Source organism: Homo sapiens, chromosome X, assembly GCF_000001405.40.
Source record: "Homo sapiens chromosome X, GRCh38.p14 Primary Assembly".
NCBI lineage: Eukaryota > Metazoa > Chordata > Mammalia > Primates > Hominidae > Homo > Homo sapiens.
The window spans coordinates 129,529,530-129,542,236 of record NC_000023.11 but is presented as its reverse complement, the minus strand read 5'-3'; the positions used below and the strand labels follow the sequence as shown (position 1 = coordinate 129,542,236).

General features: G+C 42.7%; 1 protein-coding gene across 3 annotated transcripts in view, besides 4 other annotated features; it reads right to left on the bottom strand.

The window, feature by feature from the left end:
* OCRL (OCRL inositol polyphosphate-5-phosphatase) overlaps positions 1–1,978 on the bottom strand; it is a 52,298-nt gene extending 50,320 nt beyond the window's left edge. For 2 of the 3 annotated variants that reach the window (NM_000276.4, NM_001587.4), the window contains exons 1-2: positions 1,759–1,978; positions 1,414–1,493 (exon numbers count right to left, since the gene is read on the bottom strand). In NM_000276.4, coding sequence (NP_000267.2) covers positions 1,414–1,493; positions 1,759–1,797 — 119 coding nt within the window. In that variant the 5' untranslated portion in view covers positions 1,798–1,978. Of the gene's footprint in view, positions 1–1,413; positions 1,497–1,758 lie in introns of all 3 variants that reach the window. The other variant, NM_001318784.2, reaches the window with a different exon arrangement.
* Positions 1,765–1,964: a silencer, noted in NCBI's record as "silent region_20974". NCBI's record gives its function as "represses an Ori minimal core promoter by ATAC-STARR-seq in GM12878 lymphoblastoid cells {active_cell/tissue: GM12878}" and the evidence as "EXISTENCE:reporter gene assay evidence [ECO:0000049][PMID:35858748]".
* Positions 1,765–2,145: a biological region, named in NCBI's record as "Sharpr-MPRA regulatory region 13828".
* Positions 1,851–2,145: an enhancer, noted in NCBI's record as "tiled region #13828; HepG2 Activating DNase unmatched - State 1:Tss, and K562 Activating DNase unmatched - State 1:Tss". NCBI's record gives its function as "activates a minimal TATA promoter and a strong SV40 promoter by Sharpr-MPRA in HepG2 and K562 cells {active_cell/tissue: HepG2 | K562}" and the evidence as "EXISTENCE:reporter gene assay evidence [ECO:0000049][PMID:27701403]".
* Positions 2,075–2,134: a silencer, noted in NCBI's record as "silent region_20973". NCBI's record gives its function as "represses an Ori minimal core promoter by ATAC-STARR-seq in GM12878 lymphoblastoid cells {active_cell/tissue: GM12878}" and the evidence as "EXISTENCE:reporter gene assay evidence [ECO:0000049][PMID:35858748]".

Sequence of the window (12,707 nt, the reverse complement as noted above, 5' to 3'; positions counted from 1 at the left end):
TCCTTATTAGCTCAACAGAGTTCCAAATCTACTAATCCGAGGGACTAGATTCTGGGCTGTGGTCATCTCAACAATGTAGCTACTCTATTCAATCTTCATGATTTTGTTTTTACATTAGAGGAAACCAAGGCACACAAGTTTTACTGGTTTGCCCAAGGGTCACCTCTCTGTAACCCACTCTAGCCTTTGGAAATGTTAGTGGTGTTCCACTTTTCTGCTGAATTTTGTTTTATTAAATTCTGAATTTAGTTTAGTTTCATTAAACTAGTCTTCCAGGGTTTGATGAAATCCGGGTTTGATGAACTTCCCAGTAGAGCTGACTAAGCAGGACCTATGAAAGAGCTACTTCACAGAATTAGCTGACATCCAGTTAGAGTGGCACCAATAGTCTCAGAGAAGAGCAGGTTGGGCCAGTGGGAATTTCTTCCGTGTAAATCTGACAGCATAGATACAGAGGATCTAAAAGTGGGGACTGAGAAAATTGGTTTTAGGCAGAAGCCAATGTTGGGAGATGGCAAGATTTAAGTGAACAATTTTTAAACTGGGAAGGAATATGATGTCAAGAAGCCAATGAATATCCAAGTGAGGTGTCTTGGGCACACAGGGATAGGGGCCTATGATACGTAATGGTCACCATGGATATTTTTGAGATAAGATATTAGTGACAATAGAGTGAGGTTAGCAGCTATGGTGATAGCTTATCAAAATAATCTTTTGATCAATCAGTCAACAGTATTTACGGAGCTCCTATGGCAGAGAGGAAGGTGACACACTGATAAAATACTGTCATTTCTATCTCTACACATTTCATTACCTTTTCTTTCTAACAGTAAAGTCAGTAAGTGAGGCAGTTTCTGGCCTACACTAAACCATTACTGAATTAATGAATATGCCTTCAACCCAGTGGGATAAGGGGACGGGGAGACTGGAGAAACCAGCTGAATAGGGTTAAGACAAGTCTGTAACGTTAACAATGAAGCATTTCCATAGCACTTTTACTTTTTGGAAGCCACTCTCGCATTTATTTTTCCCCCAGTTATAATTCCAAAGGCTGTAAGGTAAGGCAGTTAATGGTTTTATTAAACTGAAGAGTTAACTTTGGCCCAGAAAGCTTTATTGACTTGCCCAACGTTACACAACACATGTCAGTTGCAGGGGCAGGAACTAAGAACCCAGGCTTCCTGCTTCCCCGCCCATTCAGTCCTTCCACTGAGCCACACTGCCAAGCACAATCCAGAGGCTTGGAAGTTGGGGACAAAGCCCCGAGGTTAGAGAGCACTGGCACTTCACACCTGGACCTGAACCTGTTGCCCGCGTGGCTTCAGTAGGAGGACAGTGGGTGACCCGTCGCGGTTTGGGGTTGGGAGGTAATGGCAGGCTCCCCTCCTCTGTGGGAATCAGGTGGTTACTTACTCATATTGCCCGTTCCTCTGGGCTAGGGTCAGGGCGCAGGGCTCCCGGAGAGGACCCTTCATCTCCATACCCTCGACAGTATGCGGGCGCTAGTCAAGGGTCTCCTTCGGAAGCGCGGTGGGGAGGAGTGGTGCACTGCGGGGCGAAGGGGGTCTTCCACCCCCCCCCCACCGCCGCCCTCCCCCGCCCCGCCCCGCCCTGCTTCGTCTCCCGCGCCGGCCCCCTCCCCCTCTCTGCTCGGCCTCTGGGCCACCCGGTTGCCCCGCCCCACCGTGTTCCGCAGGGCCCCCGACCCCCACCCCCGGCCCTGCGCGGCCTCCCCTCTCCCTTCTCTCCGGCGGATACGGCAAGCGGCTGGGCTCCGACCGGGAGCGGCGGCTCCATCCAGGCGGCCTCCGGGCTCAGCAGGACAGCGGACTGCGGGCCGATCCGACGACACTGGCTCCCGCGTCCCCACACCCACCCACCTCGGCTGCGTGTCGTTTGAGGAACAGCTCCGCGCCGGGCGCCGGGCGCCGGGAGCCGGGAGCGGGGAGCTGGGAGCTGAGAATCTGACCCAAGAGAGAGCGGCGCCTCGCGCCCCCGCCAGTTTTCCAGGCCGCCGCAGATTCCGTCCCCTGCGGTCAAACTGCGGAACTGCAGCGAGAGACCTGACGGACTGGGGGCGTCTCTACCAGGTCCAGCAAGGAATGGGTTTTAAATGCCACCTGTGACATCAAAATTGTTCTGAGGACTTTGAAGGCCACAGAAACAAAACACAGTCATACCTATGGGAGATCTCAAACCTGTTGTGTCAATACGACCCACATCATTCAGTAAAAAAATACATATATATATATATATATATTTCTTAAGGTTATAATGTCCCGTGTTGGTTATCCTACCATTTCCTTTCCTCTTCTTTCTTCCACGCCCTAAATCGGAGAATTCCCCAAAGCCCAGACCTTTGCTCCTCCTCTGCGTCCCCTCCAGTTCACCTCTAACTAGACAATGTCCAAATATATATCCCTGGCCCAGACCTCTTACCTAATAGAGTCCATTGTTAACACATCACTGCGTCACAAAACTAACTCATTATCATTTCACTGGAAAGCCATATATCGTCTTCCCCCTCCTCATCTCTATATCCAATCAGTCAACACACCCTGTTAATATTTTACGTGGAATTACTTTTAGATTCCTTATTTTCTCTCCATTCACACTGCCATAACTTTATTGTAAGCCCTTGTGATAGCCTATCTGGGTTATTGCACTTTTCTTTAAATAAATCCTGTTGGGTTTACTCTTTCCTTTGACATGTTTACTCTGTTGACAGCCATAAAAATATTTTTCCCAAAGTAATTTTTCGATCGTGTTATTCATTTGCTCCAGAATCTATAATACACTAGATATCAAGAGTGACTGTAAATCTGTAGTAATTAAAAGTATGCTGTGGAGATAGACAATCAATGAAACACAATATAAACCCCTCAAACAGACCACACATATACGGAAGGTTGATATGCAGCGTGTGGGACATTTCAAATCAGTGGGGAAAGAATGGATTATCCACTAAGTGGTACTAGGACTACTGCTTATCCATATGGAAAATTATAAAAATTAGACCCCTACCTCAAACCATGGAAGAAAAATCAGTTCCAGGTGGATTAAAGATCTAAATGTGAAAAGCAAAACTTTATAACTTTCAGAAAAAAAAATTGAGTATGAGCTTGGAATATGGAATGAGAATAAGACATTTAGCTACATGAAATTTCAAAATGTATGTACTTTAAGACAATATAAACAAGTTAAAAGACAAACTGGCCTGCACAGTGGCTCATGCCTGTAATCCCAGCACTTTGGGAGGCCGAGGTGGTAGGATCACTTGAGCCCAGGAGTTCAAGACCAGCCTGGGAAACGTGGCAAAACCCTGTCTCTACAAAAACTATAAAAATTAGCTGGATGTGGTGGCAAGTGCTTGCAGTCCCAGCTACTCAGGAGGCTGAGGTGGGAGCATCCCCTTGAGCCAGCGAGGTCACATCTACAGTGAGCTGTGATGGCGCCACTGCACTCCAGCCTGGGTGACAGAGCAAGACCTTGTCTCAAAAAAAAAAAAAAAAAAAAAAGACAAGCTGTCATCACCTTTCGGACATCTCCCACCATTTCCCACCACTCTCCCTAACTAGCTTTGCTTAGTCACACTGACTCCTTGTTGTTGCTAGGACTTGCCAGGCACACTCTTACCTCAGGGCCTTTACACTTGCTGTTCACTCTGCATGCACTCTCACCTCCTTCAGGTCTTTGCTCAAATGTCACTTTCTCACTGAAGCCTTCCTAGACCACTTTATTGAAAATTGTAATTCAACAATCCCCTTCTCCATCACCACACATACATGTTCCCTATCCCTCTTCCCTGCTTATGTATCACTATCTACCACTTCTGTTTTATTTATCAATATTATTGGTCATTTACCTTCACCCGCTAGAATGTTGAGTTCCATGAGTGCAAGGATTTTGTCTGTTTTGATCATAGCTGCATTCTCAGTGCCTAGAACCATTCTTGGAGCCAAGTAGGTGCTAGAAAAATATTGATTAAATGAATGAATGACTTGGTATCCAGGATATATAAGAACTCCTATAAATAAGAAAGAAACCTAATAGAAAAATTGACAAAATATCTGAGTAAGTAATTCATAGTCAAGGAAACCCAGATGGCCAATAAAGACATGAAAAGATGCCTAACTTTATTACTATTCAGGGAAATTGAAAAGTAAAACCACGAGATACCATTTCACAACCATCGGTTTTGTGAAAATTTAAAAAGTCAGACAACCCCAAGTGTTGTTGAAGTTCTAGCAGTGGAACTCTGATTTACGGCTAGAAGGAGTTTAAGTTGGTAGAACTGCTATGAAGAACAATTTGACGATGTCTAATAAAGGCAATACCCCTCAATCTAGAAATTCTATTTCTAGATATAGACACTGGCAAAACTCTACCTTTTATATGCACAAAGAGACATATAAAAGAATGTTCATTGCAGTATTATTTGTAATCTCAAAAATGGAAGCCAAGTAAATGTCAGCAGGTGAATGAATAAATAATGGTGTTCTCGATGAATGAATTTGAGCTATGGGTAGTAACAGCTAAATTTCAAAAATATAATGTTGAGTGAAAAGCAAATTGCAAAACATGTACAGTATACTGTGTATATAAAGTCTGAAAATATCATCTATTGCTTATGGCTACATAGATGAGTAGTACTGTAATAGTATATAAAACATGAAAGGGCATGATCACCAAATTTAAGAGAGGGAGAGGATTGACACTCGGGGGAGGCATACAGAGAATATCAAATATATCTAATATTTATTTCTCAAAACAGAATCTGAAAAGTGATGTTGCAAGATTTGATAGAACTGGGTGGTGGGTACATATATTGGTTCTGTTATTCCATGTACTTTCCTGCACTGAAAATCATTTGCAGTCAATGAAAACGAAAGATAAAGAAGGAATATGCAGGGGAGGTTAGCAGTATCAAATGCTGAAAATAGGACAAGAAAATGAGGGCCAAAGAGACTTTCTTTGGACGTGTCAAGGAGTTCACTGGAGACCAATAATTGTTTGGTTTCAATAAGTGGTGAGGATAGAAACAAGATTATGGGGAATTGAGGAGGAACTGTATTGTGAGAAAACGGAGACAAGAGACCACAGATTGAAGAGGTTTGGAAATAAAAAGGAACGAAGTACAATTTTAATTAAATTAGTTAGAAGGGTCAAACAGAGGTTGTTGACAAAGCCTGAAGCCACTTTAAAGCAAAGAGGAAGGAACCAACAAAGAGGGGGCCTTTTTTTTTTTTTTTTTTTTGAGACGGAGTCTCGCTCTGTCGCCCAGGTCGGACTGCGGACTGCAGTAGCGCAATCTCGGCTCACTGCAAGCTCCACTTCCTGGGTTCACGCCATTCTCCTGCCTCAGCCTCCCGAGTAGCTGGGACTACAGGCGCCCGCCACCGCGCCCGGCTAATTTTTTGTATTTTTAGTAGAGACGGGGTTTCACCTTGTTAGCCAGGATGGTCTCGATCTCCTGACCTCATGATCCACCCGCCTCGGCCTCCCAAAGTGCTGGGATTACAGGCGTGAGCCACCGCGCCCGGCCAGAGGGGGCCTTTTAAGATGCTAGAAGAGAGAGGCAGTAAGGTTGCAAGCAAAATCCCTCAGTAATTGAGAGGGACAAAGATCCAAGATGTAGATGGCGGAATCGGCCTTAGGGAAAAGGCGAGATACTTCTTCCTCCAACTTTACAGTATCCTCAGCACCTAAACAGTGCATTGCACATAGTGGGCACTCAATAAATATTTGTTAAGTGAAGAATAAGAGGTTGTGTGGAAATTAAAATATATTGAGGTAAGGACACTAAAAACTGAGGTCTCTCACAGGGGAAATGATGGTTGCATATAAGTGGCTTCCAATGCAAAGAGTTAAAAGACAATTGAATAAAATTCAAATAAATGAAACTCTGGCTTCAAGAAAACATGAATCTCACCACCTTTACCACCACCATCTGCACATGCGTGCGTGTACACACATACACAAACACACACAAATTCAGTGGGTGCTCAGTGCCTGTCTTTTATCTATTAGGCAACTATCACTAAGTGTCTAGAACTTACAGGCTTTTCAGAAACAAAATTAAAAAAAACAGGATCTTTAAAAAAGACTAGAGCCGAGCACAGTGGTTCACAACTACAATCCCAGCACTTTGGGAGGCCAAAGCAGAAGGACCATTTGAAGTTTGAGATCAGCCTGGGCAATCTAACGAGACCCCCATCTCTACAAAAATAAAATAAAATAAAATTAGCTGGGCATGGTGGTATGTGCCTACAGTCCCAGTTACTCGGGAGGCTGAGGCAGGAGGATCACTTGAGCCCAGGAGTTCAAGGCTGCAGTGAGCTATGATTGTGCCACAGCACTCCAGCCTGGGCGACAGAAGGAGACTCTGTCTCTAAAAAAATTTGTTTTTAAGTAAAGGCTACAAAATACTAAAATGACAAATTCAAAAATAATAATTAAATGGCATACAAAATAGAACAGTATATCAAGTTCATTAACAGTTAAATTTATTATGCATTTAAAAACCCATTATATTTGAAGACGATTTTTAGGTTGGATCTTCTCACTTCCCAAGAATTCCCACGTACATGTAATTCTTATGGAGAAATCACAGCCATGTAAATTAAATTAGTTATGCACAGACAAATAATTTCAAAAGCAAAATTACCAAAGCATTTTCAAAAATTTATAGCAAAAATATAAATGTTTAATGCAGGATGTGGATGCATTTTAATATGTTTATTATGATGTTGGCTGAAGTCTCCACAAGTGACAGTGTTTAGGGCCTGCGAAGGCAAAAACAGGCCTGCCTAACATAGATGAGGCTGGGAAGGAAGATTTTGTATAGGTGAGTCAGCAGCCAGAGGCTGGAAGGCAGGCCAAGTGGAGGCATAAATGATTCATTTATTTTTAAATCCCCACTAGTTGAAAAGCCTCCCTTTTCATATACACAAATCCAGCATGGGTATGGCTTTCCATACAGAGCAACATAAAGAGTTCATTTTTATTTACATATTTCTGTTTTGCATTTCTATATTTCCACTTACACATTTCTATGTTATTTATGTCTATTTTCATTCCTTATAGAGTTTGGGGTGAGAAAAGCTCATTACTTGGGGCCACAGCCTATCACCTATACTCTTGGTGAAATGGCGACAGGCACAGCAAGCAGGAAAAACTGGCCTCCTTCGGCACACAATGCCCTCCAGGCCCTTCTTTCCCTTTGCTACTTTATTTCTATGCGGGCTAGTTTCTTAATTTCCTTCATTCTCTACCCCTATCACATTCACCAAGGCTAGGCTCTCCTTTCTGCTTAGTGAATCCCATAGGCAGGTCAGCATTGCCCAGGCCTGCTTGCCTCTTCCTCTCAGAAATTGGAGATGCTGAACTGAAAGAATATGGCATCAGCCTGGCATTAAAGCTCCAAGGATCTGTCCTGAATGCATCATTCCAGAGTTATCTCCCAAGGAAACTCTTTATAAACTTTATGCTCTGCCCATCATTTCCCTTCAGATTTGAACATGTGCAGCAGTTAGTGGCAATCAAATGGATGTGTCCATGACTCAAATACTTAGTCGATCATTTAGCTGAACACTGCTAGCTTGCCATCTTGGTCTTGACCTTTATGGAGTGTTAATTTATAAAAAATGATACATAAGCTGTTTAATATATATCCATAAAGAATCAAAGACATGCTGATGATTGAAATCAGAGCATAAAATGATTACAATTCTAAAAATTCCCAACATAACACTCATCAGACCCAGAAGCTGCATTTATCTGATCAAAATTCTTATATAGCTCATAAAAATTTCTCAAGCACTTCAGAAATCCTTAAAAAGAAAATTGAGTTATGGCTAAATACAATTTGTTTTCTCACTCATTGGGAATAAAAAATTATCCACATCTACAAAGTCAAATGATGAGATCTCTAATATCATTATTTAGAAACAAAATGCAAAAATTATTAAAATAAGCAGGTTGATATTTTTTAAAGCACAAAATTCAATAATTCCAATTTCAGGTCTTGAAAAGGGTTTTTGTCTATTTGTGAATGCTGCAAGGCCTAGTAACATTCAACCATACTGTGATGGATATAGTGGGATGACCTATGAAGGCTGCCTGAGCTCCCTGCTACTCTCAATCATGTGACCCTTCTGGATGCAGTTAGGGAGACATGAGGCTGGTCTTATCTCTAATGCAGGTGTCACAAAGGAAGGGGAAAATATATTCTTGGTTTTTAGGTTATCATTTTAAGTCTCAGTCCAGGGTGTAAGACAGGAAGATTTGGAAAGAGTCTCTGTTGAGAAGGATGTGTTATGTTCCTCAACCCATACCTCTACCCTCAGTACCTCTACCCTCAGTAGACAAGAGCCTCAGAACTGAGAAGAAGGAGTAGAGCAGGAAAGTAAGAGAATGCTTTGGTTTATTTAGAGACAGAGTCTCACTTTGTTGCCCAGGCTGGAATGCAGTGGCATAATCATAGCTCACTGCAGCCTTGAACTCCTGAGCTCAAGTGATCCTCCTGTCTCAGGCTCCCGAATAGCTGGGACTACAGATGTGCACCACCATGTCTAGGTAATTAAAAAAAAAAATAAGAGACAGTGTCTTGCCATGTTGCCCAGGTTGGTCTTGAACTTCTGGGCTCAAGTGATTCACCCTCCCTTGGCCTCCTAAAGTGCTGGGATTACAGGTATTAGCCATCACGCCCAGCCCAGAAGAGAATTTGAGAGCTGGAATCTTGTGGTCATGATGAGAAGAAGCCACATTTGGGAGAAGTAAAGACCATGTCATTAGAGGCCTGATGGGCAGTTGGCCACCCTAATGGATGGCAGCAGGGATGGAAGACAGGATAACTGCACATCCCAAGGAAGCCCAGTGCAGAATATACCAAGAACCTGAGAAGTGGGTTCCTCCTCCCCACCACTGTTATTTCAGTCTTGCATAAACTCTGGAGTTCAAAATCAACATGTGGGGCATGAAGGAGGGAGGGGGTGAATCCTATATCTGATTGGGTTTAAACATGAATTGACTGAGTTTAAGTGGAGGATTGTTTTCTGCCATCAGAAAGAATGCTGCTTCTAGAAAGGCATTAAATCCAGACATAAGCAGCATAAGCTCCAGAACCTTGTCTGTCTTGCTTATGGCTGTATACCTAGCACCTAGTACCTGGCACAGTAGCATTTCGATAGGTATCTGTGGAGTGTATAACTGTCCCTTACAGAAAATAATGAGTGATTTAGAATTATCCTAAGTGTGTTAAGCATCAATACAAATTGGGAAGTTTTGCTCTAACCAATGTAACTATTTAATTTCTTGATCACATGCCACTTATTCTTCACTCCATCTCAGTGCTAATGCTATATCTTTTCTCCAACCTCCTCTGCAACTGTACCTGCTGGAATCCTCTATTCTTCAATGCTCACCTCAAATGAAGCTTTTCCTTCTTTGAAGCTTTTCTCCTGTCTCCTCTCAGCTGGAAAGGAATGCTCCCTCCTGAATAACAGTGTCTCTGTGTACCTCTTAGGGAAGTTCTTGGAACTTTTCAAGGTCTGTTTTGTACAATATTGTTACAGAATGAACAAGCACATGATGAGCTCTGATCATTCTTATCGCTACTCTCAGCACCATCTCCTCAGTGCTTTATAGTCACGTTTTGAAAAAAACATTTATAAAGTACTTCTTTATATTTTTCTATGGTGTGCCTAATTTTTCTTCTTTTAGTGTGCATAAAATGTGTATGTACAGTTTGAGAAATAATTATAAAGTGAATGTCTATGTAACCTCTACCCAGGTTAAAAAATTGAACATTGTTAGCACTTTGAAAGTGCAAACAATACAAGACTTCAGCTTCCAATTTCGCTTCTGGGCCAGGCACCCAAAACAGGTGCCTTTCTCTGATCATTCCTTCTTCTCCCACCCGGAATTAAACCAAGGGTCGCATTGAGCCAGCATTCCCTGGTGAGGTATAAAAGGTTCTGTCTGTTTGGAGTGGTCAAAGTCCATGCCATAGTGGTCATTAAAATTTTTGAAGGTCATCCCTGGACATAACCATTATCTTGAGTTCTGTGATAATCATTTCTTTGCTTTTCTTTATAGTTTTATTGCTTATGAATGCAGTCATTAAAACTTTTGCCTGCTTTTGAACTTTATATGAATGGCATTGTATGGTATGTATTCTTTATATCTTGCTTATTTCAGCCAATAGTATGTCATGCATGTGGTCGTATATAGATGCCCTTCAGTTTCATTGATGTACAATATTCTATTGTGTGACTATATTCGGATTTCATTCATTCTCTTGTTGATGGACATTAGGTGGTTTCCAGCATTTGGCTATTACAAGCAAAAGCTGACAAGAGCATTCTTTTTTTTTTCCCCTCCGAGACAGAGTCTCACTCTGTCACTCAGGCTGGAGTGCAGTGGTGCGATCTTGGCTCACTGCAACCTCCGCCTCCCGGGTTCAAGCGATTCTCCTGCCTCAGCCTCCTGAGTAGCTGGGACTACAGGCATGTGCCATCACACTCAGCTAATTTTTTTTTTTTTAGTAGAGATGGGGTTTCATCATGTTGGTCAGGCTGGTCTCGAACTCATGACCTTGGGTGATCCACCCATCTCGGCTTCCCAGAGTGCTAGGATTACAGGCATGAGCCACTGCACCCAGCCTAGAACATTATTGTACATGGTTTTTGGTGCATATATGAATGATTACCTCTGGGGTGTATTATCCTAGTGGGGTGAAAGATGTCACAGGTTGGGCTCTCTAGAAGCAAAAGCTGAGATTAAATATTGGGTGCAAGATGTTTGTTAGGGATCAATACCAGTGGAAGGAAGGCAGAGGGAGTAGTATTGGGCAGGAGAGATGAACTATGATACAAGGCTGACAAAGCTTGAGCTAACTTGGCACTGAGTTTTGGAACAAGTAGAGCCCATTGGTGTGTTCTGTGTCAGGTTGAAATGGTCACCTTAGGAAGAGTGTGACTTCGGGTGAAGCAGCTCTTTGCAGCTAAGGCAGAGTCTCAAGGAGCTGACAGCTGGAGGCTATCTGCTGACTGTACCTCCCCTGCATACCTGAGTAGCATGTTCTTCCTCAAAGCAGAATCTAGGTGGCACATCTCTGTGTCGTTACTACAAAATGGTGTATATGTGTTCAACTCTAATAAATACTGCCAAACTGGTTTCCAAAGTGGTTGTACAATTTACATTTTCACATGCACTCTATGAGAGTCCCCATCCTCACAAGCTCTGGGTGTTGTCAGTCTTTAAACATTTTAGCCATTCTAATGGATGTGCAGCAGTATCGCATTGTTTTTGTTTTGTTTTGTTTTGAGACAGAGTCTCGTTATGTCACCCCAGGCTGGAGTGTAGTGGCATGACCATGACTCACTGTAGCCTCGACCTCCCAAAGATATGTGATCCTCCTGCTTTAGCCTCCTGAGTAGCTGGGACTACAGGTGCATGCCACCACGCCAGACTAATTTATTTTTTATTTTTGTAGAGACAGGATTTCGCCATGTTGCCTATGCTGGTCTCGAACTCCTGGGCTCAAGCAATACACCCGCCTTGGCCTCCCAAAGTGCTGGGGATACAAGCATGGGCCACTGTGCCGGGCCTCATTGTGGTTTTAACTTGCATTTCCCTGATGACTATTGAGGTTAAAGACATTCTCATATATTAATTGCTTTGTTAAGTCTTCTTTCATCCACCTGTGTTTGTCTTCCACAGAGAATGAGTCTCTTTCAGGCAAAGGTCAGCAAACACAGCCTGAAGCCCATTTTTGTATGGCCCTTGAACTAAGAATGTTTTTACATTTAAAATTGTTTAAAAAAATCAAAAGAATAATAATATTTAGTTATATGAAATTCAAATTCCAGTTTCCATAAAAACAATTTTATTGGAATCCAGCCATGTTCATGTGGTTACCTATAGTCTATGGCTGCTTTCATGTTACAACAGCAGAGTTTAGCGGTTGTGACAGACTTTATAATCTGTAAAGCCTCAAATACTTACTACCTGGCCCTTTACAGAAAAAGTTTGCTGGTCCTCGTTCTAGGTCACTAGTTCTCCAAGTGTGGTCCCCGGACCAACAGCATCAGCATCAGTGGAGAAATTGTTAGACAAATTCTTGGCCCCACTCCAAACTTACCAATTCAGAAACTCTGGGAGTGGGGCCAACTATCTGTGTTTTAACAAGCCCTCCAGATGATGCTGATGTGCTCAAGTTTGAAAACCACTGATCTAGGCCCAGGACAAGGACCCAATCCTTTTTTTTTTTTTTTTTTGAGAGAGAGAGAGAGTGTGTGGTGTGTGTGTGTGTATGTAGACATTATTGTCTTTTGTCTTTTGGTATCTTGTTCCACACGCAGTGGGTAAGCTGGGGGAGAGCCCTGAAAAATGTTATGTAAGTGTATTATTATGCATGTGAAATCTGGCAAGAATGGACACTCAGGACAAGATTGAAGGAAGAGAAATGGGAGAAACCAGAAGGCAACATAGAAGCTGAAGAATATGTGTGGAGTGGGGAGGGCATGATGTAGCTAGGGAGCCAGTCCCTGAACTGCCTTCCCTCCTACCTCTTACTATTATTATGTATTTTTTGAGATGGAGTTTCACTCTTGTTGCCCAGGCTGGAGTGTAATGGCATGATTTCAGCTCACTGCAACCTCTGCCTCCAAGGTTCAAGTGATTCTCCTGCTTCAGCCTCCCAA